The 25,335-nt window shown below is 36.9% G+C and overlaps 1 protein-coding gene across 2 annotated transcripts in view, besides 2 other annotated features; it reads left to right on the plus strand.

Annotated features, from left to right (window-relative positions):
- Positions 1-25,335, plus strand: part of DIAPH2 (diaphanous related formin 2) — a 920,156-nt gene that overhangs the window by 79,568 nt on the left and 815,253 nt on the right. The window lies entirely within an intron of this gene.
- Positions 590-639: a silencer, noted in NCBI's record as "silent region_20912". NCBI's record gives its function as "represses an Ori minimal core promoter by ATAC-STARR-seq in GM12878 lymphoblastoid cells {active_cell/tissue: GM12878}" and the evidence as "EXISTENCE:reporter gene assay evidence [ECO:0000049][PMID:35858748]".
- Positions 750-799: an enhancer, noted in NCBI's record as "active region_29796". NCBI's record gives its function as "activates an Ori minimal core promoter by ATAC-STARR-seq in GM12878 lymphoblastoid cells {active_cell/tissue: GM12878}" and the evidence as "EXISTENCE:reporter gene assay evidence [ECO:0000049][PMID:35858748]".

Raw genomic sequence — 25,335 nt, forward strand, 5'->3', positions numbered from 1 at the left:
GAGAGATGAGGTTGACTTTGTTGAAACAAAGAATGTATATTGGAAAGAGTAAAAAATCAAGTTGAAGGATGGTCTTGAAGTCCAGGCGGCAAATTATAAATTAGTTTGAGCAAGGAGGTAACATGATGGAAGCAGTGTTTAAGAAAAATAAATTCGATAGGTGGATAGGCTGGATTAGGCTAATGGTTCTCAAACTGGAAAGTACATGAAAATGCAAATTTTGTCCTGCTCCAGGAAGATTGTGATTCAGGTGGCCTGGGATATGGCCAAGAAATTTGCATTTTTATCTAGCACCTCCAGAGATTCTGCTAAGGTAGTCTGAGAAGTATACTTCACACTTTAAGAAGTACTGGATTCTGATAGACTTATTCGGGAAGCTACCTAGGAGATTTTTGAGTGATTCAGTGAGGACTTGTATTAAAGTCCTCACTTTGAGGCTAGGTGGGGTTAAATAACGAGTTTGGGGAGATAAGAGATTTTTAGCTTATTTTAATAAGGGCTGGAAGCAGCCTGTATTTCTAGTCTTGGTACCAACTCTCTCCCCTAATTACCCACACTGTTACTTCCTTAGTTCAGACTGTCATCATTTAACACCCCTGTGATTGCTGTAGCCTACCAAGCAGTCTCCTTGTCTTCAGTCTCTCACCCACCCATGCATATTCTACACTGTTACCAGTTATCTTGCTCCAGCAGTACCCTCTTATCTGTGGTTTCATTTTCTGTTTCAGTTACCTGAGGTGCAGCACAATAATACATTTTGAGAGAGAGAGACCATATTCACATGTTTTTTTTTTTTTTTTTTTTTTGAGAAAGGGTCTCACTCTGTTGCCCAGGCTGGAGTGCAGTGGCATGATCTTGGCTCACTGCATCCTTGATCTCCCGGGCTCAAGCCATCCTCCCACCTTAGCCTCCAGAATAGCTGGGACTACAGGTGTGCACCACCATGCCCAGCTAATTTTTGTATTTTTTTGTAGAGATGGGGTTTTGCCATGTTGCCCAGGCTGGTCTCAAAGTCCTGAGCTCAAGCGATCCGCCTGCCCTGGCCTCTTAAAGTGCTGAGATTACAGGCGTGAGCCACCACGTCCGGTCCACATAATTCTATTATAGTATATTGTTATAATTTTTCTATTTTATTAGCTATTGTTAATTTCTTACTGTGCCTAATTTATAAATTAAGTGTTATAGGTTTATATGCATAGGAAAAAGCATACTATATTTAGAGTTTCAAAACTATCCACAGTTTTAGGCATCCACTGGGTGTCTTGGGGCGTACCTCCTGTGGATAAAGAGAGACTACTATATTTCCCTCCTCAAAACATTCAAATGGCTCCCTGTTGTCCTTTGTGATCTCATCCCTGCCTGCTTCTCTAGTTTCATCTCCAGCTTCGTTCTTACTGGTACCTGTCTTCTATCTGCATAGGAACACTTGGCAATTCCTTCATGCCTTATTCTTTAATACCTTTAAATCAAGCATGTTCTATTTTTTTGAGCTGGAATGCCGTTTTCTTCTTTAGTGTGTCCGCCAAGCTCCTAAATATCCATCAAGATTAAGCTTCCTGTCAGTCTTAGAAGAAGCTGTCCTAGGTAACTCCTTCCTTCCCATAGCACCATGTTTATAGCTCTATTGTTATATTTAACATATTTTATTATAATAAGTCATTTATATGTTCTTTTTCCACAATGTACACAGCTTCTGTGTTCAAGAAACTAGGTCTAACGGGGAAGACAGACAGGTAAACAGAATAAAGATAGGACCTGAAGATGCAATATGGTAAAATGGCAGGCCAGCAGGCTATATGTAGTGTATATATATATATATACACATATATATATATTTCCCAGAGTGTTTTGAAAAACAGTATAATGAGGTACGTGTTTTGATCCACAATGTAAACTATTTCATACCCATTGTCTTATCTGTGACCTCCTCACATTTGAGTTTGCAAATCCTGCTATAAAGGGAAGAAACTATAGGAATTAGCTTCTAGAGGAAATGATTAGGGGTTTGTTCTAGAGTTTAGGTGGGATGGTTGTCTTAAGGAAGAAATTTTTTTGTTTGTTTTTTTTTCTGCAACTAAAGGGAATAAGAAAACAATATGTAAGATCACTGGTGAAAACCAGGTACAAAAGGGCTTTTGCATCATGGTCTCAATCTTCAACAGATGGAGAGGTTTATTCATTGATAAAAAGGGCAGGTAGGAAATTTATAGAGGTGTTTCAAAAAGAAATTCTAGAATAATCACTTTAAGTATTGCATTTGCCCAGAGATTACGTACATTGGTCCAAAAATGAGTGATACGAAAGCTAGACTGAAATCCAACAGATGGAATATGTAATGAACTAGGAGGTCGGCATGGGCCTGTTTTGCGTTTGTCTAACCAATGTTGATTAGAAGCAGAAATGGAGGCATTTGAGGCCCTCCTGATCTTGAGCTACCATCAGTCTTTACTTTTCACTATCCTATATAAATTGTACTTTAAAAGTCAAGCCAGGAAACTGCCTGTTACCTGAACAAAACCACCCCCTTAGCCTCAGGCAGTATTGCTTCTGACTTTGCTCAAGGGATCTTTTTTGTATAGAATGTTTTCTTTCCTTTGTCAACATTCTAGCCATCCTCCACAGCTCTTCCATGAAGCCTGTCTTGATCTTGATCCGCTCTCCCATTTCCACCTACAGTAATATATCTGAACTCCTATAGCACTTTATTTTTAACTCTTAGGGAGTCACTCTTAACTTTATCTTATAGTTCCTATTTCTTTATATATTCCTTAAGGGCTTTCAGAATACTCCTATTTTACTTTATGCCTGTAGTAATTTATATCCTTAAATAATACTGTCTCACATACTATGAGTCTTTGTATATCCACGATACAGACTCTATGAAGGAAGGCAAATTTTAGTAGCAATCATGGGTTTAGAGGCAAATGGACCTGGTTTCAGATTCTGTCTCTGCTATCCAAGGTCACATACTAGCTGTGTGACCTTGGATAATTTACTTCTCTGAATCTCAGTCTTTTCATTGATAAAATGAAGAGAATAATACTAAATTTGTGATATTTTTGAAGTATATTGTTTATGTTTAATATATTTAACATGTAAAGAATCTTGCAAATAGTAGGTCTGAATTACATTTTTGTTAAATGTCTTGAATTCTACAAAATGCTTGATATGAAAGACATAAAACATAAAGACTACATGGTAAAATGAGATAAGACTGAGCTGCCTTTTTTGTTGTTGTTCAGTGTTCAAGATGTTTGCTATTTGAAGATTTAAAGGGAAAAATGGGATTTATTCTGGGTCAAGAATGGTGGGAAGGATTCAGCTGGATGCTGGAAGGAGAATGTTTTGCCTGTTTATTGGAAGCTATTTGTTATGTGGTGTGGATTATTGCTGGGCTTTGAGGAAAAAAGTAAAATCATATATGATCTCAAGTTAATATTGACAAGATTATTTTAAAGATTTAATAAAATAGTTGAGGATTTGGTATAGATACTGTCTGTGATGGGAAATGATAAAATATCTTTCTGGTAGATCTCTAGAAATAGCAAACAGAATTTGGAGTAGGGAAGAGATAAAACTGAATTACTTTTTTCAATGGCTTCTCGTTCTAAATAACTGTTGCAGAATTTTGTGAAGCAAAATAAATTGTTTTTATTATTTAGTAACAATGCATGAAACAGATTTAGAAAACAGCTAAAATGATTGATTTTATTTCACTACAAGCCAGGAATAATTTATCCACAGGTAGAAAAATAAGCATTCTTCTGTGACAAAAAGTAAGAATTGATATGATTACATATGATAGTTGGAAAATAGCAAACATTGTAATGACCAGACCTTATAATTTTAAATAAGAGGTAATTTAATAAGTTGGCAGCAGCAACGGCTTTTTGGGAAAGCATTTGTCTCGTCATCAGAAGAGTCTGAGTTTGAATCCTGATTCACTACTCATTCATTCCCTGTGAGCTTGTAAACCTCTCTAGACTCAGTTTCATTCCTTTCTTGAACACAAAGTTACTGGGTACTTATTAGTGCCAGGCATTATTCCAGGTGCTGGAATGATGAACCATACAGATAATGTCTTCATGGAACTTACATTCAAGATGGGGAAACAGACAATATGACACATATAAAATATAATGACAGGTAAGCGCTATTAGAGAAAGCAGAGAGTGATCAGGGTGTGGTATTTTAGATAGGCGAGCTCTTTGGGCAAATGACATTTGAAAGGAGACCTGAATGAAAATGGGAAGAGCCATGCAAATATCTAGGGAAGAGAGAACATCAAGTGCGAAGGCCTTGAGGCAGGAGTGTGCTTGGAGTATCTGAAGGAATAGCAGAGGTCACTGTGCATGGAGTGGGGTGAACAAGGGAAAGTATGGGGGTGTTTAATCCCAAGAGTTAGGGTGACTAAAAACATATGTTAAGCATAGTTAGTGGGTTGTTAATTTGGAAAGGTAAGTTCAGGTCATTTTAGGAGAGATATTTTGAAGAATTGTCACTTTAATAGCCAGCCAGGAGCCCTGGAAGGGTTTGAGCCGTGGAACGACAAAATCCAAGGTGTATTTGGGGAAGAGAAAGGTAGCAGTGGAAATTGGAGAGGTTAGACATAAGGGCAAGGAGATCAAGTTGGGGGTTGTTGCTGTAGTTTAAGTAATAAGGGTGCTGAACTGGAGTGTGGTTAGTAGGAACTAAATGGAGGATATAGATGAGAGACAGAGACTGTGGAAGTAAAATATCCCAGCCTCAGCAAATGATTTTAAAAGGGCAGAAGAGATGTATGAATCAATAATGACTGAAATTTCAAGCATGGGTGACCAAAATGACTTGAGCATTCATAGAGTAGTCAGGGACGAGACCGAGTTTGGAGTAAAAGAAGATTGAGTTCAGTTAGATATGTTAATCAGGGAGAAATTACTAGAATCACAATAGCAGGAGTAAAGGTATCACCATGCAAGAACATTTATTTAGCTCTTACAGCATTAGCAGTATAATTTTATAATTTGGTTCTCTGTTTCAAACTACTGCTTTTACCATTTTAAATGTACTCTCTGTATATTGCTGCTGAGACTATGTTGCTGATCATTCTAATAACATTTACCTGCTTAAAAGCTGAAGCCTGAATATCTTTACTAGGTATTGAAGGCCAAGTATACTTGTAGATGATTCAGTGGACCAAGACAGAGAAGAGTGAATCATTTTGGTGGCTTGTAGTATCATTTACCAGATAAACAATCTGACATAAAATTAAGAGGTCATATTTGTACCTTTTGCAATGTTCCTAATAATCTCAGTCAAAAAAACAAGCCCATAATAGTGAAGGTCAGATACAAATGCATGCTTCTTTGCCCTAATGGAGCATGGGAATCATGAGCACTAACTGAATGACTGTTGCAAGAGTTTTCTCAAAATAGAGCCAAATGAACTCCCACCCGCCAGCCGGCCCTCTTCCAGGCTGACAATGAAGGTAATACTGAGAGTAAGTTTCTGTTAAAAGTATAAACATGGCTGGGCGCCGTGGCTCACGCTTGTAACCCCAGCACTTTGGGAGGCTGAGGTGGGTGGATCACTTGAGGTCAGGAGTTCAAGACCAGCCTGGCCAACATGGTAAAACACCATTTCTACTAAAACTACAAAAATTAGCTGGGCCTGGTGGCAGGCCCCTGTAATCCCAGCTACTAGGGAGGCTGAGGCAGGAGAATTGCTTGAACCCGGGAGGCAGAGGTTGCAGTGAGCCGAGATGGTGCCACTGCACCCCAGCCTGGGTGACAGAGCGAGACTGTGTCTCAAAAAAAAAAAAAAAGGATAAACATATGATCAGGCTTAAAATAATAAATTTAGTGTTATCTATGTATTACTTACTATAAGCTGCCTGATAGTAATATACCTAAAATACCACCAAGTGTGGCAGCATGCTTTGTAGGCTGTTAAGCTGCTACTACATTAATAAATTGAAGTTTTATTAGTTTATTTATAGAATAGTATTTGATAATTACCTCACGTAATATTACACTTGTGTCAGGCCAATTATTTGAATATGTTCTGTGAAAAAAGATTAAATCTTATTTTTCCTTTTTTCTCCTTTTTATAATTGTGTAGTCCAGAAGGGGGAGACAAAACATTGATTATTGGAGGTTGAAGTAGCTGCTTCGTGATGATAAAACATTGTGTTCTTGTATTCCAATTTGATTTTTTTAAATGGGTTTAGAAATTGTAGGATAGTTGCTACTGTAAAATATTTAGTTTTATGGTGGTGATAATTTTGTTAAAAATCTAAATTCAGTCAGAATAAAAATAATGCCATTATTTTAAACTAGCATATATAAAATAGAAAAACTCATTTGGTGATCAGATGAAAATAAGACCTGAAACTATTTAATGATGGTATATTATAAGTGATCTTTTAAAAATAGCACAAACACTATTAAAGTACCAATTTCAGTCTTTTCTAATTTCACATTCATTATATGCAACGAGTAGCTACTTTCCCATTTCCTAATGTTTTAACACTGCAAGCTAACTTGTACATTATACTTATTTTGGATAGGGGTATCTGTATATGTTTTGAAAGGTTTTGTTATTTGAATTTCCCTTCATTTTTGGAACACTATCGTATCAGTTCCTTCCCTTCCCGTGCATTGTCATAAATTGCATTATTTCATCATGCCAGATTAAATTCATTGTTCAATGAATGCTGAAATATAGATTATGAAATATTAACAAGTCATCTTACCTTGGGCATTTGGAAATGTCTAAAAGACAGCATGAATGTTAGTATTATGTTTAGACATGTATTTTGAAAATTGATTATATTAATATTTATGAATAGGGGTCATTATGTTTTATAATCTATCCTGATATTAGAAATGAAAAGATGTATATTTCATGTATGATTTTGCATCACAAATTCATTAGCTGTGCATTTTGATTGTGATCATGTTGGATATTTCTATTGAGGATATTTTTCTGTGTGTATAATCAGGTAAAAGAATCAATTTAAAATCTGATGCTTGATATAAGACATTTAAGACTAGTATAGCCATTATTTTTTGTACTGGATTGGTTTATTTTACTAACAATGGAAAAAATTTTGATCATCTATGTAGAATGAGGTAATTATATGATGTCTTTTTTTGTGTGTTTTTGTTGTTAAGTAATATAGTCTCTACAATATATATCCTTTAAAAGCTCTGTATAAAATTTGCTGTTGCCATTATAAAACTTAAAGTGGCATAACAGAGGGATTTTTTTTATGAGGCAATGCTTCCTCTATCCAGATAGCCTTGTCGGCAGGGGAAAAAGAGGAAACAATCAGATTACAATCAATGTTTAGAAGTTACCTTAGGCTAGATGTAGTTGGCTCATGCCTGTAATCCCAGCACTTTAGGAGGGTGAGATGGGAGGATCACTTGAGCCCAGGAGTTCAAGATCAGCCTGGGCAACATGGCAAGACCCTGTCTCTACAAAAAAATAAAACAATTAGCTGGGTGTGGTGGCACACTCCTGTAGTCCAATCTCCTAGGGAGGTTGAGGTAGGAGAATCTCTTGAGCCTGGAAGTCAAGGCTGCAGTGAGCCGAGATGGCGCCACTGCCCTCAAGCCTGGGTGACACAGTTGAGACCCTGTCTCAAAAAAAAAAAGTTAGCTTAGCTACTGTATATAAAATTTTGGGCCCTTTTCTCATATATTTGATTCCATTTTTCATTTTAGTTAATCAAGTTTCTTCTGTCTGTTTATCTGTTCGGAAAGGACTGTTTGGTTGAACAAACATTAGTTCCTTTGAATAAGTAGAATAAGATAATCTTAAAAAGAAAAAGGCCGCCTTAGATTTATGAAGTGTTTCAGAGTGTTTAAAGCCCTTCATGTATTTCCTCACTTAAGCTACGTGTTATATGTATTTCTGTAGGTTCGTGCATCAGTTTTTCAGAAGACATTGCCTCCATCTCCAAATTCTTGGAGGCTAGTTAGAGTCTGGCCTTATCCCATGGAGATTTTTTTGGCTGAAAGCTATATGGACAGTCTTTTGAGTAGTTTGTACTGACCAAGGTATTTCCTGTCAGTGGTCCACTGATATTCATAACATTTAAAAATGATACATGATATTCATAACTTGTATTAATATCTAGTTTATATGCTTGTATGAAATGCTTTCTGGGTCTGCATTGCTAAATAATGGTGATGTGACCAGTGACATTTAGAGTAATTTTTTGTACTGTGGTCACCATAATTCGGATACCATGATTATTACATTAATTGCATGTGCTTTTATAGTTGCAGCCATAATTACCTATTAAAACAATATAGAAAAAAATGAACTTTAACAGCATCAAAGATATTAAAAGCATTTGGGTTCATTTTTTATGCTGATCTGTTTGTAAATTTTTAGTAACCTGTCATGGTTCTTTTCTTTAATGAATTTGTGATCTAAGGAGAAAATAACTGCTTGTGCAATGTAACTCTTGTGCTTGGAGAACATAACTGCTTTGTATATTTCTGGTAAATCATTTATTTTTATTGATGATTATGATGCTTTTTTGGCAGAGTGCTTATCCACTCAAAGAGCTGTTCTACGAAGTGTGATTGGTGTCTGTATCCAAGATATAACATGTATTCTATGTGTTTATATATGTCTCTCTATATCTATTTATCCATCTTTCTGTCTATCCTCCCAAAGTTAAATGAGCTTAAATAGGTTGCCTCTGTGTTAGAAAGCAGAGAAGTATTACTAGAGAACTGAGGCTCTTCCCCAAAATTATTTCAGATTTTCTTATTGTGTGGAGTGGTTTTGCTTGGAATGAGAAAAGCTATGTGTTACCGGCTGAATTGTTTCCCCCCCCCTCCCGCCCTCCCCAAATTTGTATGTTGAAACCCTAACATATCAGAATGTGACTGTGTTTAGAGATAGGGCTTTTAAAGTGTTAAGTTAAAAAAAAAAAGATGCCTTTAGTGTGAGCCCTAATCCAGTCTGACTGGTGTCCTGGTAAGAGGACATTTGGACACACAGAGAGGTGCCAGGGTTGTGTGCAGACACAGAGGAAAGGCCATTTGAAGACAGAGAGAAAAGATGACCATCTGTAAGCCAAGGAGGGAGGCCTCAGAAGAAACCAAACTTACTGACACTTTGGTCTTGGACTTTTAATGTCAAGAATGGGGAGAGGGGCCGGGTGATGTGGCTCATGCCTGTAATCACCAACACTTTGGGAGGCCGAGGCAGGCGGATCACTTGAGGTCAGGAGTTTGAGACCAGCCTGGGCAGCGTGGCAAAACCCCATCTCTACTAATAATATCAAAATTAGCTGGGTGTGGTGGCACATGCCTATAGTTCCAGCTACTCAGCAGGCTGGGGCACGAGAATCACTGGAACCAAGGCAGAGGTTGCAGTGAGCTGAGATCGCGCCTCTGCACTCCAACCTGGGCAACAGAGTAAGACTCTGTCTCAAAAAACAAACAAACAAAACACAAAACAAAACAAAAAAATAAAGGGACAACAAATTTACAAAAATAAACAAAACAACAAATTTCTGTTGTTTGTGTTCCAGTCTGTGGTATTTTATTATGGCAGCCCTAGCAAACTAATACAGTATGTAACAGTCATTTTGTTGTATTTAACACTGAATAATAGTGAACTTTTAGAGAACACTAAGTGCCAAGAACCGTGCTAGGCAAGCTTCATGTAAAACCTAATTTAATCCTCATAAGAATTATCACCCCCATTTTATAGATTAGGAAAGTGTGGCTTAGAAAAGTAGGTACATTGTTTGGGGTTACATAGTAAGTAAGTGGGAGAGCTGGGATTTGAATCCAGTCAGGCTGACTTCAGAGCTTGGCCTCTTAACCAATAACTAAGTAAGATTTGGTGGATTTCAGGCAGTTGTGGATAATAATTGACACCACAGGTGTTCATCCTCTCTAACACTGTTAATATTTAGTCTTTCACCATGTGCTAGTAGGCAATTCTTATTTTCTGCCAACTGGAGAATACCTACAGTCATACCTACAACACAGAGAGAACCTTGCCCATGGAAAAGCTGCTACATTACAGAGAATTAAAGACCTCTGTGCACGTGTTGCTCAATGGGCCAAAAATGACTCTGCCGATATGGTCTTTGTGGCTTTCATAGCAGATGTTCACGAACAGGTAACATCAATGCAGATAAACCATATACTCAGCAATTTAAATGTGAGGAAAAAGATACATAAATATTAGAAAGAATCCCATTTTTAGCAATGGCCTATAATTCTAAGCCATTTTTCCTGTGTCTGAAATAGATTAACCATTGTGCCTCTTCGAGTTTTTTTTCTATCTGTGTGTTCACCTTTCTTATGCACGCTTGCCTTTTATAATTAATTTCAATTAAACATTAGTTTTGTTTAAATAATACTGTGTAATTAAAATGCTTATGTGCTCTCAGAGGGCAAGGACCATGTCTTAATACACTTTAGACATTTTTAAATACACTAGGCTATAACAGCAATAAAATAATTAAACATCGTTTTGTTCAATCTCTACATATTCACAATTCCTCTGACACTGAACTGTGTATAAACTAAAATCAGAAAGCTGCTAGTTATTTTATAATGCTTCTCAAAACAGAAGTCCTCTTCCATTGGAAATGCAGTCTAGCATCTTAAAATCTTTTTTTTTCTTTCAAGAATAAAACTAAATTTCTTCTATTGTAATTTAGGTCCCTTGCCTCTTGGTAAGTTTTCTATTTCTGCTGAGGACCGTTGTTCATCATCACCCATGCAATCTCTCTTAGAGTACTCATAGGTTTAAGTGGTCCCTCAGCTGCTGCTTCTCCCACTTCCTTTAATTTTTCCATATAATACTGCCTTCTTTTTAATTGCTTTTAGAGTGTCTACAGTTTGGGGCCTCAGAAGTGGAAATGCTACTTGATAATACACCCAATCTAAATGTTCATTCTTATTTTACTCAACGTGTGCTTGTGTGTGTGTGTGTGTGTGTGTGTGTGTGTGTGTGTGTATACTTCCTCAGTTTTGGTGGTGCCTCTTCTATTGATGGTGATTGTTATTTTTTTGTTATACAGATGTGACTAAAATTGAGAGTTTTTTCTCCCCGTTCTCTTCGCATTATCTAGGAAACTCCAAAGATAGCTCTTCATCATACCAACTAGAAACATCTTGAGTGTTCACCTGGAGTTTTTCTCCAGTTGTTTTCGCTTATAGCTTGGTGTGCGAAGTTAATCATACCCGTAGGAAAACCACCACATGAAATGGATGCTTAGAGCGTACGTTAAAACACAGTGAAAATCATAATATTTGGGCTTTGAAGACCTGGGGGTTTAGGTCATGGCTCTCTCTCTTAATGGCTAAGTGATTGGGGGTAAAACACACTCAACCTTTCTGGAGCCTAAGTCTCTTTATCTGTACTTACTCTGTCATCCTAATAGAGTTACTGAATACTTTGTAAACTGTAAAACACAGTACACATTTAAATCATTATAGTAATCAGTTAAGGAAGTGATTCTCATGGTAATTCCTAATATATATATTTTTGAAGAATGTGTTGATCACAACTACTGCCACCTTTTAGTGACACATACATCAATGCATTTGTTCCTTTATTACTCAGTGTTAGTTTAGAAGCCAGTTATAGTTATAAACTTTGTAAAAGCTGACGTCTTCTAAGGTAGCCCCTAGGCTACAGACTACATGTAAAGTTACCCTTTTTATGAAAAGCCACAAGCAACTGTGAAGATTATCCCTAATCTTCCATCTAAATATGAAAATATTTGCATTTTAAGCTGCATAACCATGGTATCCTTTTCTTCTTTTCTTTTCTTTTCTTTCTGTGTTTTTGAGACAGAGTCTCACTCTGTCACCCAGGCTGGAGTGCAGTGGCGCAATCCCTGCTCACTGCACCCTCTGCCTCCTGGGTTCAAGTGATTCTCTTGTGTCAGCCTCCTGAGTAGCTGGGACTACAGGTGTGCGCCACCACACCTGGCTAATTTTTGTATTTTTAGTAGAGACGGGGTTTCACCATATCGGCCAGGCTGGTCTCGAACTCCTGACCTCAAGTGATCCGCCTGCCTTGGCCTCCCAACGTGCTGGGATTACAGGTGTGAGTCACCATGCCTGGCTGCTTTTCTTATTTCATTTGAACTCTTTTCTCCAGGTATATTATATATACTGTATAAATATTATTAAATTAAATATTATTATATATAGTATATAAATTTGGGGTTTAATGACTGTTTCTAAACTAAGATCACATGAACTCAGAAATGGTAAAGTAGTACTTTGAGATTTGTGGTAGTAAAGAATTTGACTTTTTTTCCTCCTAAGTTTACTAAATATTTCAATACAAAAGCCCATATTTCCTTAAAAGATATGATGTAAACCAACTATGCAATTTAAAGCAAATCATTTTTCAAGTTTGCTATTCTCATTATAAGAAGAGTTCAATACATTTTAGAAAATGTGAGAATGCAGTTAAGGAGAAGGAATCAAAACAATTGCCTATAAACTTTACATAAACTATTGTTAGTAATTTGGTATGTTTATATTTAATCGTTTGTCAGCTGTGTAGTTAAACTTTTAGAATTCTTTCTACCACTTTTTGTAGCTATACTTCCCTTTCAGAAATGAATTCCTATTTTATTATAAGGTACACTGATACAGATAATTTTGGTAGATGATAGCTTCTAATAGCAAAGTAGTATTTTAATAAATCCTGGCACCCTCACTTCATTTAATTATAGTCTGGTTACTGGAAATTCAGTATCTAGAAGCATTTTATGCCTTGAATAGTTGTGGCATAATTTTATCTTTAGTCATGTTTGAGTATGTCAGTAGTCATAGGCCATTTTTATGTGTTTTGCTGGATAGCTTTAAAAACCTAATGAAAAATGTTTATGATTTATCCCTTTATCGGATTAAAATTATACACAATTTGCTATCAAGATGTAAAACAACAGAATCTCAGTTTTCTCAGATTAGTAATTATAATGATACATTTTTCTTATTTTTGAGATGGGAATAATTTGGAAAAAATCTAGAGGTGTAGAGTGGATATGTAGTACTAGAAACATATCAACAAGTTTCAGGAAATCTTGTAAACCTCTATTTTCATTATTTTGGGATGGGGGGGTTCTATTGAATTACCATTGCAAATGAAGCAAGATCTTCATTTGGAAAATTTACTTGTATTAAACAGATGACTGGGCTGAAATGGCTGCTAAAACAATTTCATGCTTTTGTTTTTAATGTAGTCCAGTTATAAAATGTCACATCAGATTGTGTGTGAGTACACAAATGCATAATTTTAATTTTATTTCTGAGTTATCACATTTTAGGAAGTTGATTAAAATCACCCAGAATTTTTTCTAAGCTTTTTATATATAACAAATTAACTATTTGAAATGAGTTAAAACAAGATTGATATTTTGGCAGTAATACCTTTATTAAAGAAATTGATCAATTCTTCAGTAGTTACCCATTTTGTCCTTTTTTAAATTTTATTATTATTATACTTTAAGTTTTAGGGTACATGTGCACAGTGTGCAGGTTTGTTACATATGTATACATGTGCCATGTTGGTGTGCTGCACCCATTAACTTGTCATTTAGCATTAGGTATATCTCCTAATGCTATCCCTCCCCCCTCCCCCCACCTCACAACAGTCCCCAGTGTGTGATGTTCCCCTTCCTGTGTCCATGTGTTCTCATTGTTCAATTCCCACCTATGAGTGAGAACATGTGGTGTCTGGTTTTTTGTCCTTGCGATAGTTTGCTGAGAATGATGGTTTCCAGCTTTATCCATGTCCCTACAAAGGACGTGAACTCATCATTTTCCATTTTGTCCTTTTATTTTTGAATATGTAACTCACTGCCAAATTTTATTTGCTCTAATTTCTTATTTTAGAAATGTCAAGCCTACAGAATCATTGTAAGAATATTACAATGAATAGCCATAGACCTTTCACCCATATTTTAAAATTGTTAACATTATGTTATATTTGCTTTATCATTCTCTTTTAAAATTTTTTTTCTTTTTTTGCCTTTTCTGAGCCTTAGTTGCCTATTTGTAACACTTTACTCCTAAATACTTAAGCATGTCTCTCTTACGAACAGGGACTTTCTCCTATATAAACATAGTTTAATTACTAAATCAGGAAATTCATCACTATTATAATGTTGTTGCCTAATATAGAGCCCGTATTCAAATTTCTCCAACTATCCCAATAATGCCCTTTATAACTTCTTGTTTTCTAGAATCTAATCAAGGATTGCACATTACATTTATTTGTCATATCTTCCTAATCTTCTGTAGAACAAGTCCTAGACTTAAAAAAAAATTTCATTTCATTAACATTTTCAAGAGACCAAGACACTTATTTTGCAAAATGTTTCTCAGTGGATTGGTTTCATTGTTTCCCCATGATTAGATTCAGGGTAAACATTGTGGGCAAGGATGCTACACAGGTGATGTTCTTCCTCAGTACATCACATCAGGAGGCACAGGGATATCAGTTTGCTCCATTATTGATGATGTTACATGTGATCATTTGGTTGGAGAAGTATCTTCCCTATTTGTCTTTGTAATTAATAAGTGATATGTAGGATAATACTTTGAGATCATGTAAATAACCTATTTCTCTGAAACATTTCACATGGTTTTAAAATCTGTTGATGAGATTCTTGCCTGAATGAATTATAACTAGGATTGCTACAAAATAGTGATTTTTCTAATTCATTGTTACTTCTGTATTTATCATCTGGTATTCTTCTGTAAAGTAGAACTTTCCCTTACCTCTTTAACCTTCTTTGACTTTTTAAAAGAAATATCAGCATGGACTCACAGATTCTTTATTTAAATTCAATTAACTACCCTACCTTATTGATAGAAACTCTATAAAATCCATTCAATTGTTTACTGAAAATAACACATAAAATAAAGAAATCAAACAATTAACATCTGTTGGTTTTTACTTTATGAGGTAACTATACCCATACTAACTCATTAAGTCTCATCTAGAAGCAGTTCTACTTTTCCCCCTAGAAGAAAACATTAGACAGGTGCAGTGGAATTTGAAGTAATGAAATGTCTGATGTGATACATTTATTCACTGCATTTGTTATATTTAGGCCTTACTTATATTCATTGCTGCATAATCCTTCTGAATATCTTAAACATTAAAATCTACTTTTCTATCTTATCAGATACAAGTCTTACTTCAGATTGCTATTTGAATTAGAATGCCTTTAGCCATCTTCATTTTCAGGCTTCCATTGTTTAAAAAGTCATGATGGCTTATCCTTAACTGTTATCAAGCATGAATCTATAAATACCTACAAATGTGTTTTCTAAAAACAAAAAAATTATGGTGTTTACATATAGAAATGTATGTTGCCATAGTGTTCAATAATCCAGAGCAATGCTTTTCAGCCTATCTTCCTTGTAAAAAGCTGTTCACCTTAGGCTTTTGTAGCGGTGCTTTGTAAGTTCTACGTTTTTTTCCGATTCTGTTTTAGAACTCTATTTATTTTAAAAATTTACAAAAATAGCACCCATGTTCAAAGACCTCAAAATTAGTAACTTGTAAGACCAGATGAATTCATTTTTGTGTACACCCCAGAATGTAGTTTATCTTTGCATCTTTAATGGCAAGGTATTCTAAGACTGCAAGAGATGCTATTTTAACTGTTAAGATTTGTAGATACTTATTTGTGAAAATCTGGATTTTCTTTGTATGATACAACTAAAACAAAATGTGTAAATCATCTGGATGTTTTGTTTAATAGGACTGTAGCTCTTCTATAAAATGCCTGGTGTTAGATGTTAATGTTTATTCAAATAGTCTCATTGTTCTTTTCGATTAACTTATAAATCAATCCCCACTAATGGAACACTACTTTAATATGCTTGAAAAAATGTTTAGTCTTGGGGAAAAAAGCTTTAAAACTACTGATCTTACAGAAAATGTCCATTTCAATATGTAAATTTAGTATACCCATTATTTAAAATGTGTGTGTGTGTGCGTGACACTTTTAAATGCATTTGTATTTGCTATCATGGGACATTGAATCAGGGTTTTATTTTTTTATTTTTTGTTTTTTATTTTTAATTTTGAGATGGAGTCTTGCTCTGTTGCCCAGGCTGGAGTGCAGTGGCACGATCTAAGCTCACTGCAACCTCTGCCTTCTGGGTTCAAGCGATTCTCCTGCCTCAGCCTCCCAAGTAACTGGGACTATAAGTGTGTGCCACCATGCCTGGCTAATTTTTTTGTATTTTTAGTAGAGACGGGGTTTCACCATGTTAGCCAGGATAGTCTCGATCTCCTGACCTCGTGATCCGCCCGCCTCAGCCTCCCAAAGTGCTGGGATTACAGGCGTGAGCCACCATGCCCTGTCGAGTCAGGATTTTAAAACTAGCTCTCCCTGATCTTTTTTTTTTTCGATGAAGTCTCGCTTTGCACCCCCAGGCTGGAGTGCAGTGGCTCGATCTCACTCACTGCAACCTCCGCCTCCTGGGATCAAGCAATTCTCCTACCTCAGTGTCCTGAGTAGCTAGGATTATAGGCGCCCACCACCACACCCGACTAATTTTTGTATTTTTAGTAGAGACGGGGTTTTGCCATGTTGGTCAAGCTGGTCTCAAACTGCCGACCTCAGGCGATCTGCCTGCCTCTGGCCTCCCAAAGTGCTGGGATTACAGGAGTGAGCCACCGTGCCGGGCCTCTGATCTTTATAAAAATAAGATAAATGGTGAAAATTGGGAATTCTTACTGCTCTTATGTAAAAACAAGAATAATTTTAGTGGTCTGAATTGAAGGGTCATGAGAAGCAGCAGGTATACTAAGCTGTAAATCTGTGGGACTAAACTATAAATCGTGGACAAGTGGTCAAGCAGCCTTTAGGAAGGCAACAATATCATGGCAATACTCTATTTCTGAGCTGATGTTAGAGTTTGTATTGTCAATAAGATCATGGTAAAGTTTAACCACAAGTTTTGCAGCCTTTCATGTTTCCTCCATACTCGTGGAATATTACCCTTCCAACACAGACATTTCCCTTTTAATAGAGGGTTATCCTTATTACCTCCACCACATTCACTATCCATTTTATATCCATATCTTGATTTCTGCCCTTCTAATTAGTCTACTTTGAGTAATTAGGATAAAGCATTTCTGAAATTTCATTATATAAGCATTAATTACTGTCTCTTAGGTCTAAAATAATTTTTCGGTCACATTTTCTAATTGCCAAAATTATTCCTTGGATCGACATTCATACTATTTTTCTACAAACATTATATTACATAAATAAAAAGAAAAAGTTTATATATATATATAAGTATTTTATGGATGAAGGTAAAACATGAGATAATTTCCTTATGTATGGAACAACTAATATTAAATTAATTCTTTAAGGTTGTATTTATAGCTCTCTTATGCAAGGAGAATAACTTAAGCAAAATAGTACACCAGATAACTGTTATGTGGTAATAGAGAGATTGAATTAACACTAAAATGTGTTAAAACACATATATTTATAAAATAGACTTAAATTTCAAGAAATAAAATTAATACTGTTGAAAGAAGTGTAGAAATCATATAGTGACTTTAAAAGTACACAAGTTCCCCTCATTTCAAAGGTGTGAATCTTTTGTGACTTTTATACTAGTATTTAATACTATATAAACCTCACTGTTTATTCTAAATATTTTATTTTATTTTATTTTATTGTAGAGACAATGTCTCACTATGTCACTCAGGCTGGAGTGCAATGGCACAGTCTTGGTCACTGCAACCTCCACCTCCTGGGCTCAAGCTGCCCTCTCATCTCAGCCTCCTGAGTAGCTGGGACTACAGGTGCATGCCACCACACCCGGCCAATTGTTTTGTATTTTTGTTTGTTTGTTTGTTTGTTTGTTTGTTTTGAGACGGAGTCTCGCTCTGTCACCCAGGCTAGATGGGGTGCAGTGGCGCGATCTCGGCTCACTGCAAGCTCCGCCTCCGGGGTTCACGCCATTCTCCTGCCTCAGCCTCCCGAGTAGCTGGGACTACAGGTGCTCACCACCACACCCGGCTAATTTTTTGTATTTTTTTAGTAGAGACGGGGTTTCACCGTGTTATAACCAGGATGGTCTTGATCTCCTGACCTCGTGATCCGCCCGCCTCGGCCTCCCAAAGTGCTGGGATTACAGGCGTGAGCCACCGCGCCCGGCCTTGTTTTGTGTGTTTTGTAGAGATGGGGTTTCGCCATGTTGCCCAGGCTGGTCTCCAACTCCTGGGCTCAAGCGATCTGCCCTCCTCCGCCTCCCAAAGTACTGAGGTTACAGACATGAGCTGCTACTCCTGGCCAATATTTCTTATTTATTTATTTAAAATATTTAGTGAGTGCTTACAGAACGTGCCGGCTACTTTTCTAGGTACTGGGGTGGGGGCAGGGAGAAAAAGACCCCTGGGGTATATAGTCTACTTGGGTTAGTGTTAGAGTAGACCATTGATAAATGTATTTGTTTTGTAAGGGGATGGGGGAAGCCACATTTTCTAGTTTTCAATATACCTTTATAAATGGAGCATTTGCTTTGATAAAATTGCAATTCTGTTAACGTCTCTTAAAGTATTTTGTTTCTCCACAAGGGATTATTCAGTATTAATCATTCAATGCGTACGATCAGTGAAATCTTAGCAGGCCAAGGATAACTCTTGTGATACTCGTAAAACAACCAGAACAGATACCACTTTACAAATAAAGGACGGTGTGGGGATCTACTGTGGTGGTTAGAAAAGCCCTGAATATCTGATTTGTGACTAAAATGTGGAGAGGGAGGGGAAGAAAAAAGGGAGAACATGAGGGCCAGCCAGAGTTAAAGAAGACTCTGGAATTACATTTTTAATTGTTAAGTCATTGGTTTAACGACAAGAGAAAAAGGCATGTTCTGGCTGGTAACTGACTTCAGAAGCCTAGGGCTTCTTGGACAGAAGATACAAAGGAAAAAACTAAGAGACCAAGAAGGAAGAGAGTGAACATGATCGTTCATAGTGGTAACATCGATGGCTTGTAGATATTAAAGCCATCACTGGCAGATGCAAACTAGAGATGGTGGTAACAATTTTCTGATGGACTTTAGGAGTAGTGACCAAGCTAGTTGGATGGAGATAAATGTAATGAAGACATATGTAGAAGAGCTCTTTATTTCAGCAGGTCAAGGAGTAACCAGGCCCAAAGGGCAAGGTCACAAGGCATTGCCTCTGTGAGTTTTCAACATGCAGATGAGTGATGTCACCAGTTTGAGAAGCCTACTCACCCTCCTCCCAGTCTTGATTCTGAGGACAGATACTTGTAACTTGAAAAAGTTCTCTCCCTTCCTCCTTTGGGAATCACTCCTCTATTCTGTGGGTTTTCTGACTGTATAGAAAAATCTGCTGGTATCTTAAAATAACTGCTAAGGATATTGTGTGAATGTAGAACCTGTAACACACACTGTTCGGTCATTTGGCCCTAGTTACCATCCATCTGCATCTGAATATCCCAGGCATATCTATAGCAGATTGTAACATGTTCAGATCACTGGGAGGTATAATAGTACATTGTAGACAGACAGAGACATATTTTAACCTAAAATCTTAAAAATAGATGCATTGGAATGGATACTCTGATCTCCCCAGAATATTTTATTTTCCTAAAATGCCTCATTCTTTTCCGATCTTTAGGTAAGGAGGTATTTTGCTTTATCAATCTGCTTTCCAGCTGTTTGGGATTTAATATTCCACATAGATGCATGCATTTTCTTTGTAAATAATGACAAAGACAGATTACATAATTACAGGCATAAAATTATCTCATCTTGCTAAAAATAATACAGTAACAGGATTAGTATGTGTATCATCTGTATGAATTAACCATTTATTTTTATTAAAATACTAAGATCCATATTATGACCACCCTTATGTGTTCATTGTCTACTTGTTTGAATCAAGAAACATTCTGGCCTTTGATTTCTTGTAGTTATAGATATATGGAATTGGTAATGTTGATTGAAATATAACATAGTCCCTTTAGCTTCAGTACTTTAGGAAAAGGTTCCTCTGTCCACTATAACATTTCTCAAACCCATGTAAAAACAGTAGTGTAAATATAAGCATACACAATTAAATGAGTGAAGTAAAACTCATTGGTGTGACTATCAGGGCTTTAAAAAAGTGTGCAGTTTGAAAAAAAATGAAGGTGATTATATAGTAAAACAAACATCTGTCTCTTTCCTACTATCCCTGCACTATGTATAGGACTTGCTTAATTAGAAAGAAGAAGACATGATGGAATATGGTCCAAAAGTTTGAAGAACAGTGAGGGGCATCAGGGCCTGGATGATAAAGCTGGACTTCAGTGGATTCTGTGTTAACTGTCTAGATACTGAATTATTGTGTAGTAAATCATCAATGCAGAGTGGAAACCTTGGAAATGTTGGCTGGACCTTGACTACAGTTGGAGAATAGCAATTTCTGTAAGGCTGGCTGAATCATAGTCAGATCATCTCAGAAAAGATGAGCAGCAGTGGTTAAGAAGGCAATCTCTGGAGTCTGTCTGCCCAGGTCTGAATCGTGGCAGGCTGTCTAATCTTGCTTTTCTCATTTATAAAATGAGATGACAAAAATAGTATTTATTTCCAAGGTATGTTGTGAGGATTAAATGTCAGCCATTGCTATTGTTGTTGTTAGGAGGGGAGTTAAATGGATTTTGGTTTTGGACAGAAAAAATGGATTTGGTTTGTAAAAGTAATCAAATATAAGCAGAAATATCTGCTAAGCTATTGGAGAGACTGAATAGATACTAGGTGAAAGGGAAGAGTAAGAGTTGTTATTTTGTGAGTCCTTGTTTTTGTTTGTGGTTCTATCACAGAATACCTGAGGCTGGGTAATGTATAAAGAACAGAAATGTATTTTCTCACAGTTCTGGAGGCTAGGAAGTCCAAGATGAAGGTGATGGAATTTCGTGAGGGCTCTCTTGCTGCATCCTCTGGAGGGTGCCACGGACAATGCCATGTCCTCAACATGGTGAAAGGTGGAAGGGTAAAGAGACAAAAGGTGGCCAAACTTGCCTTTTTTTTTTTTTTTTTTTTTTGGAGACAGAGTTTCGCTCTTGTTGCCCAGGCACGATCTTGGCTCACTGCAATCTGCGCTCGCCTCCTGGGTTCAAGCGATTCTCCTGCCTCAGCCTCCTGAGTAGCTGGCATTACAGGTGCCTGCCACCATGCCCTGCTAGTTTTTTTTTTGTATTTTTAGTAGAGATGGGGTTTCATCATGTTGCCCAGGCTGGTCTCGAACTCCTGACCTCAGGTGATCCACCCGCCTTGGCCTCCCAAAGTGCTGGGATTACAGGCATAAGCCACCACTCCCGGCCCCGAATTTGCCCTTATATAATGGGATTAGCCTACCCAGTGGGACATAGCACCCAGAGCCGTATCACCTCCCAAAGTTCCTACCTCCTAATACCGCCACAATGGCAACCAAATTTCAACATGAGCTTTGGAGGGGACTAACATTCAAACTGTAGCAGTCCTTATATAGGAGCCACAACCCAAACCTTAGAAAATTTTGAGCTCCCTGGAGCAAATGGAAGAGCAGAGGAGAATGTCCTTGAGGACTACAGGGAACAAGTAGATGAGTAGGGTCAAGTAGAAACTTTCACAAGGTTAAGGACACCTGTGTATGTTTGAAGGTAGAGTTGGAGAAACCAAGGGAGGTAATCCAAAATGTGATTATACCCACAGGCCCTTTTCCACAGAAAGGTACTGAGAGTCCCCTGTTGCCATCAGTGAAACTTTACACTATTATGTAGTATTAAAGTTATTTAGTGCAGTAGTAGTCAAGAATTTGGCAGCTGAAATGAGCTAAATGCCCCCTTGATAACCTGTGAAGATGTTACTATCCTACTGTAAGTGCTCATCTGATTACCAGGGAGTCATGAAGGTACTGTGGAGAAAGGGGCTTCAGGTAATTAGAACTTGGAAGTAGCCATGTCTGTTGTGAAGAGCTGGGATTGTAAACACATTTTGCAACAGTATAAAAACTGATAACAAATATAATTTAGTTATTCTAAATGTAATTGTTACTACAGCGGAGATAACAGATGTATTTAGATCAGCTTCTGTTTGTGTAAAGAAAAATGTAAACTATTGATTCCAATTTAATGAGCACTCACAATGGTTATAGCTGTGTTATTTACATAGCTATGTAACAGAGGAAACAAATACCTAGAGAAGATAAATGAGAGAACCCCAAACTGAAACACCTCTCACTGGGCTTTACTTTCACTGCTGATGACACTAATCCTTTTACTTTACTCCAGCAATAATTTAATGTTTTGTTTTGCATACTAGAATCCTTCTAGTATTAGGAAGAATTCAAAAGGTAAGGGAGAACCCTTGTCAATACTATATAGGTAATTGCTAGTAAATTTTCTTTTAATATTGCCTATGCCAAATTTTAGAAAATGTAATAATCGAAGCTAGTATGCAAGCAGTAGCTTCTGTAATAAAATAACTTTATATTATGTACCGTGATGTAAACCTTATTGCTTGCTTTGATTTATATGCAAATATTTCTTTTTCTTATAGTTTATACTGCTTTCAGCTGCTATCTTAGTTTTTGTGCTCTAGACAGTCTCCATTTTTTCCGTGATTACCACAATAAAATAGGCAAGCAGGAAAAATTATGGCTACTTCCTGTCTAATTTTGTGTATTTGTTTCAGTAGCAGTACCAATCTTTTAGGCAACCAGTGTTGTCGATGCCATGAATTTACAGTAAACCTGTGGAATTCACGTATATAAAACATAGATGTCATGCTGGTGAATTCAACTTACAAGGCATGGAATAGAACTCTTGCAGTGAGGCTATTAGTTTCAGGTAATTTAAATCTCAGTGGGAACCAATAAATGGATTTTGAACTAATATATTTTTGAAGTCTTCAAAGATAGGAGAAGATTGTAATATTCTGAGTAAAGAAAAAAATCATGGGTGATTTTTTTAAGGTAAAGAGGTTTAAATTTAATGAAGTGATTAAAAGTAATTTCAAGCTTTATTTTCCCTCTATAAACATTGTTTTTAGTTGATTTAAAGGAAATTGGTTAAAAAATTAGGCTTCTTTTCAATATAATGCCAAATAGAACTAAACATATCTTTCAATGTTGAGAACTTTTTCTAATGGGAGGAATGTGAAATGACATATTTCTGAGGACCTACACAGAGCCTAATGTAATTTATTCACCAATCCCATTGTTGATTAGGATGGTAGACATTACTCTTTTCTCTTTTTTTTTTTTTTTTTTTTTTGAGACAGAGTCTCACTCTGTCCCTCAGACTGGAGTACAGTGGCATGATCTTGGCTTACTGCAACCTCCGCCTCCCGGGTTCAAACGATTCTCATGCCTCAGTCTCCTGAGTAGCTGGGATTATAGGCACCTGCCACTACGCCCAGCTAATTTTTTTCTTTTTTTTTTTTATTTTTTATTTTTAGTAGAGACGGGTTTCTCCATGTTGGCCAGGCTGGTCTCGAACTCCTGACCTCAGGTGATCTGCCCACCTTGGCCTCCCAAAATGTTGGGATTACAGACATAAGCCACCATGCCCGGCCCTAGAAATTAGTTTTAAAGGATATTTTACACTAGTTTTTCATCAGGAAAAGTATATCTTGATAAAATGTTTTTCTAATTTTAGAACTTAAAGGGAAATGTATAACTACATTAAAGTATAGGTAGTAGTAATAATCTTATAGCTAATTTTAAGACTCTGCCACTAAGGTGTTATAATTCTTAGCTCCTTCTCACACATTTGTTTTCTAACATAAATGATGTGTAACGGCAGAGATCATGAGTTACATGTTCCTCATTTGCCTTGTCATATCACCTAGTGCAAACTTCTCACACCTGTAACCTGGAATGATAATAATTTATTTACTTCTTTGTCTCTTTTAGGACACTGTGGGATATTTGAAGGTTAGAGCTTGGTTTCTATTTCTATGCCAGACAAATCTTACATAGGGTTTGATACTTAGTTGTTAGCCAGTAAAAATCTAGGACGGCTCCTACAAGAAACATTTAAAGGGTTTGGCAAGACCTAGGGCCAACCACCTCCCAACCCGTCCCCACCCTCCAAAATGTTTTGAGGAAAATTAACACCCCTATTATTATTAGGGAAGCATGCAAATTGTGTAAGTAAAATTATAAGTCAGAGAAAATCGAAATGTCCATGTGGAATAGTTAACATCTTTTTGTTTCTGTTATTTCAGGGACTGTCATATCCAAGAGGATAATTTGTTACTGTGTGCATGTTCTATTAGTACTGTAAGCCCCTTTATACAAAGGATGCGTTTAATTTTTATATTCCCATTATGTCTGTTACCTAGCATTGCCAAGAATACAATAGAGGCTCATTAAAATCTTGAATGTATGATCAGTGTATGTTGTTGCCAGCACACCCTCCCAACTCTCCCATTAGATGACAAGCAATTTGAGGGGAGCACCCAAGTATTTGTCATTTTTAAATTCTTCTCTCTTTCACACTCAACACAGTGCCACAGGTATAGTAGGCGTGTGTGTTGAAGGTTTTTAAGAGCATTCCCACTTTGGGGGATTTGTTAGAAGGACTCACAGGACTCAGAATATCATTTCACTAATGGCGAAGATTTATTACAGTGACATAGTAGAGATGCACAGCCAGATCATAGGGGAAAAGATACAGGCGGAGTTTGGAGGAATCTACTGGTGGGCTGCCTTATGCTGTGTCCCTCCCACGAGGGGTCACATAGAACACTCTTTTCCTTCAGCAGTGAAAATGCAGCAATATATGTGTGATGCACCTGCCCAAGGAAGCCCATTAGAGAGTCAGTGCCCAAGGTTTTTATTGGGGGCCGGTTATGTAGACACACTCTGTTTAGCATGTACCAAGATTTCAGACTCCCCAAAGTAAAGCAGATATTCAATATAGACTGCATTGTTTGTACAAACAGGCATAGTAAACCATCCTTATCAGCTAAGGAGCAGTGGGGACACTCCCCAAAATCCAGGTTCCCAGATACCAGCCAAGGGCCAACTTTGCATGCAAGCCTTTCTATAAATAGCAGTAGTAGGCTTGCTATGTCCACTTTTCTGCATAGCATGGCTTTGTATGAATACTGCTTTAGGCGGGAGAAGGAAACTGTATGGCATTTCTTTCAGTACTTAGTCTTAGGCTCAATTTGTTAGGGAGATTAAGGTTTCTTTTCTTTGTTAGAGGTGCTTCTAATGTCTTGGTTGTTTTAAGTGCCTGTTCGTCGACTTGCATCATTGCTGAATTCCTTTTTTGAACTTTATGAATGTACCAAACATACC

This window comes from Homo sapiens, chromosome X, assembly GCF_000001405.40.
Source record: "Homo sapiens chromosome X, GRCh38.p14 Primary Assembly".
Classification (NCBI taxonomy): domain Eukaryota; kingdom Metazoa; phylum Chordata; class Mammalia; order Primates; family Hominidae; genus Homo; species Homo sapiens.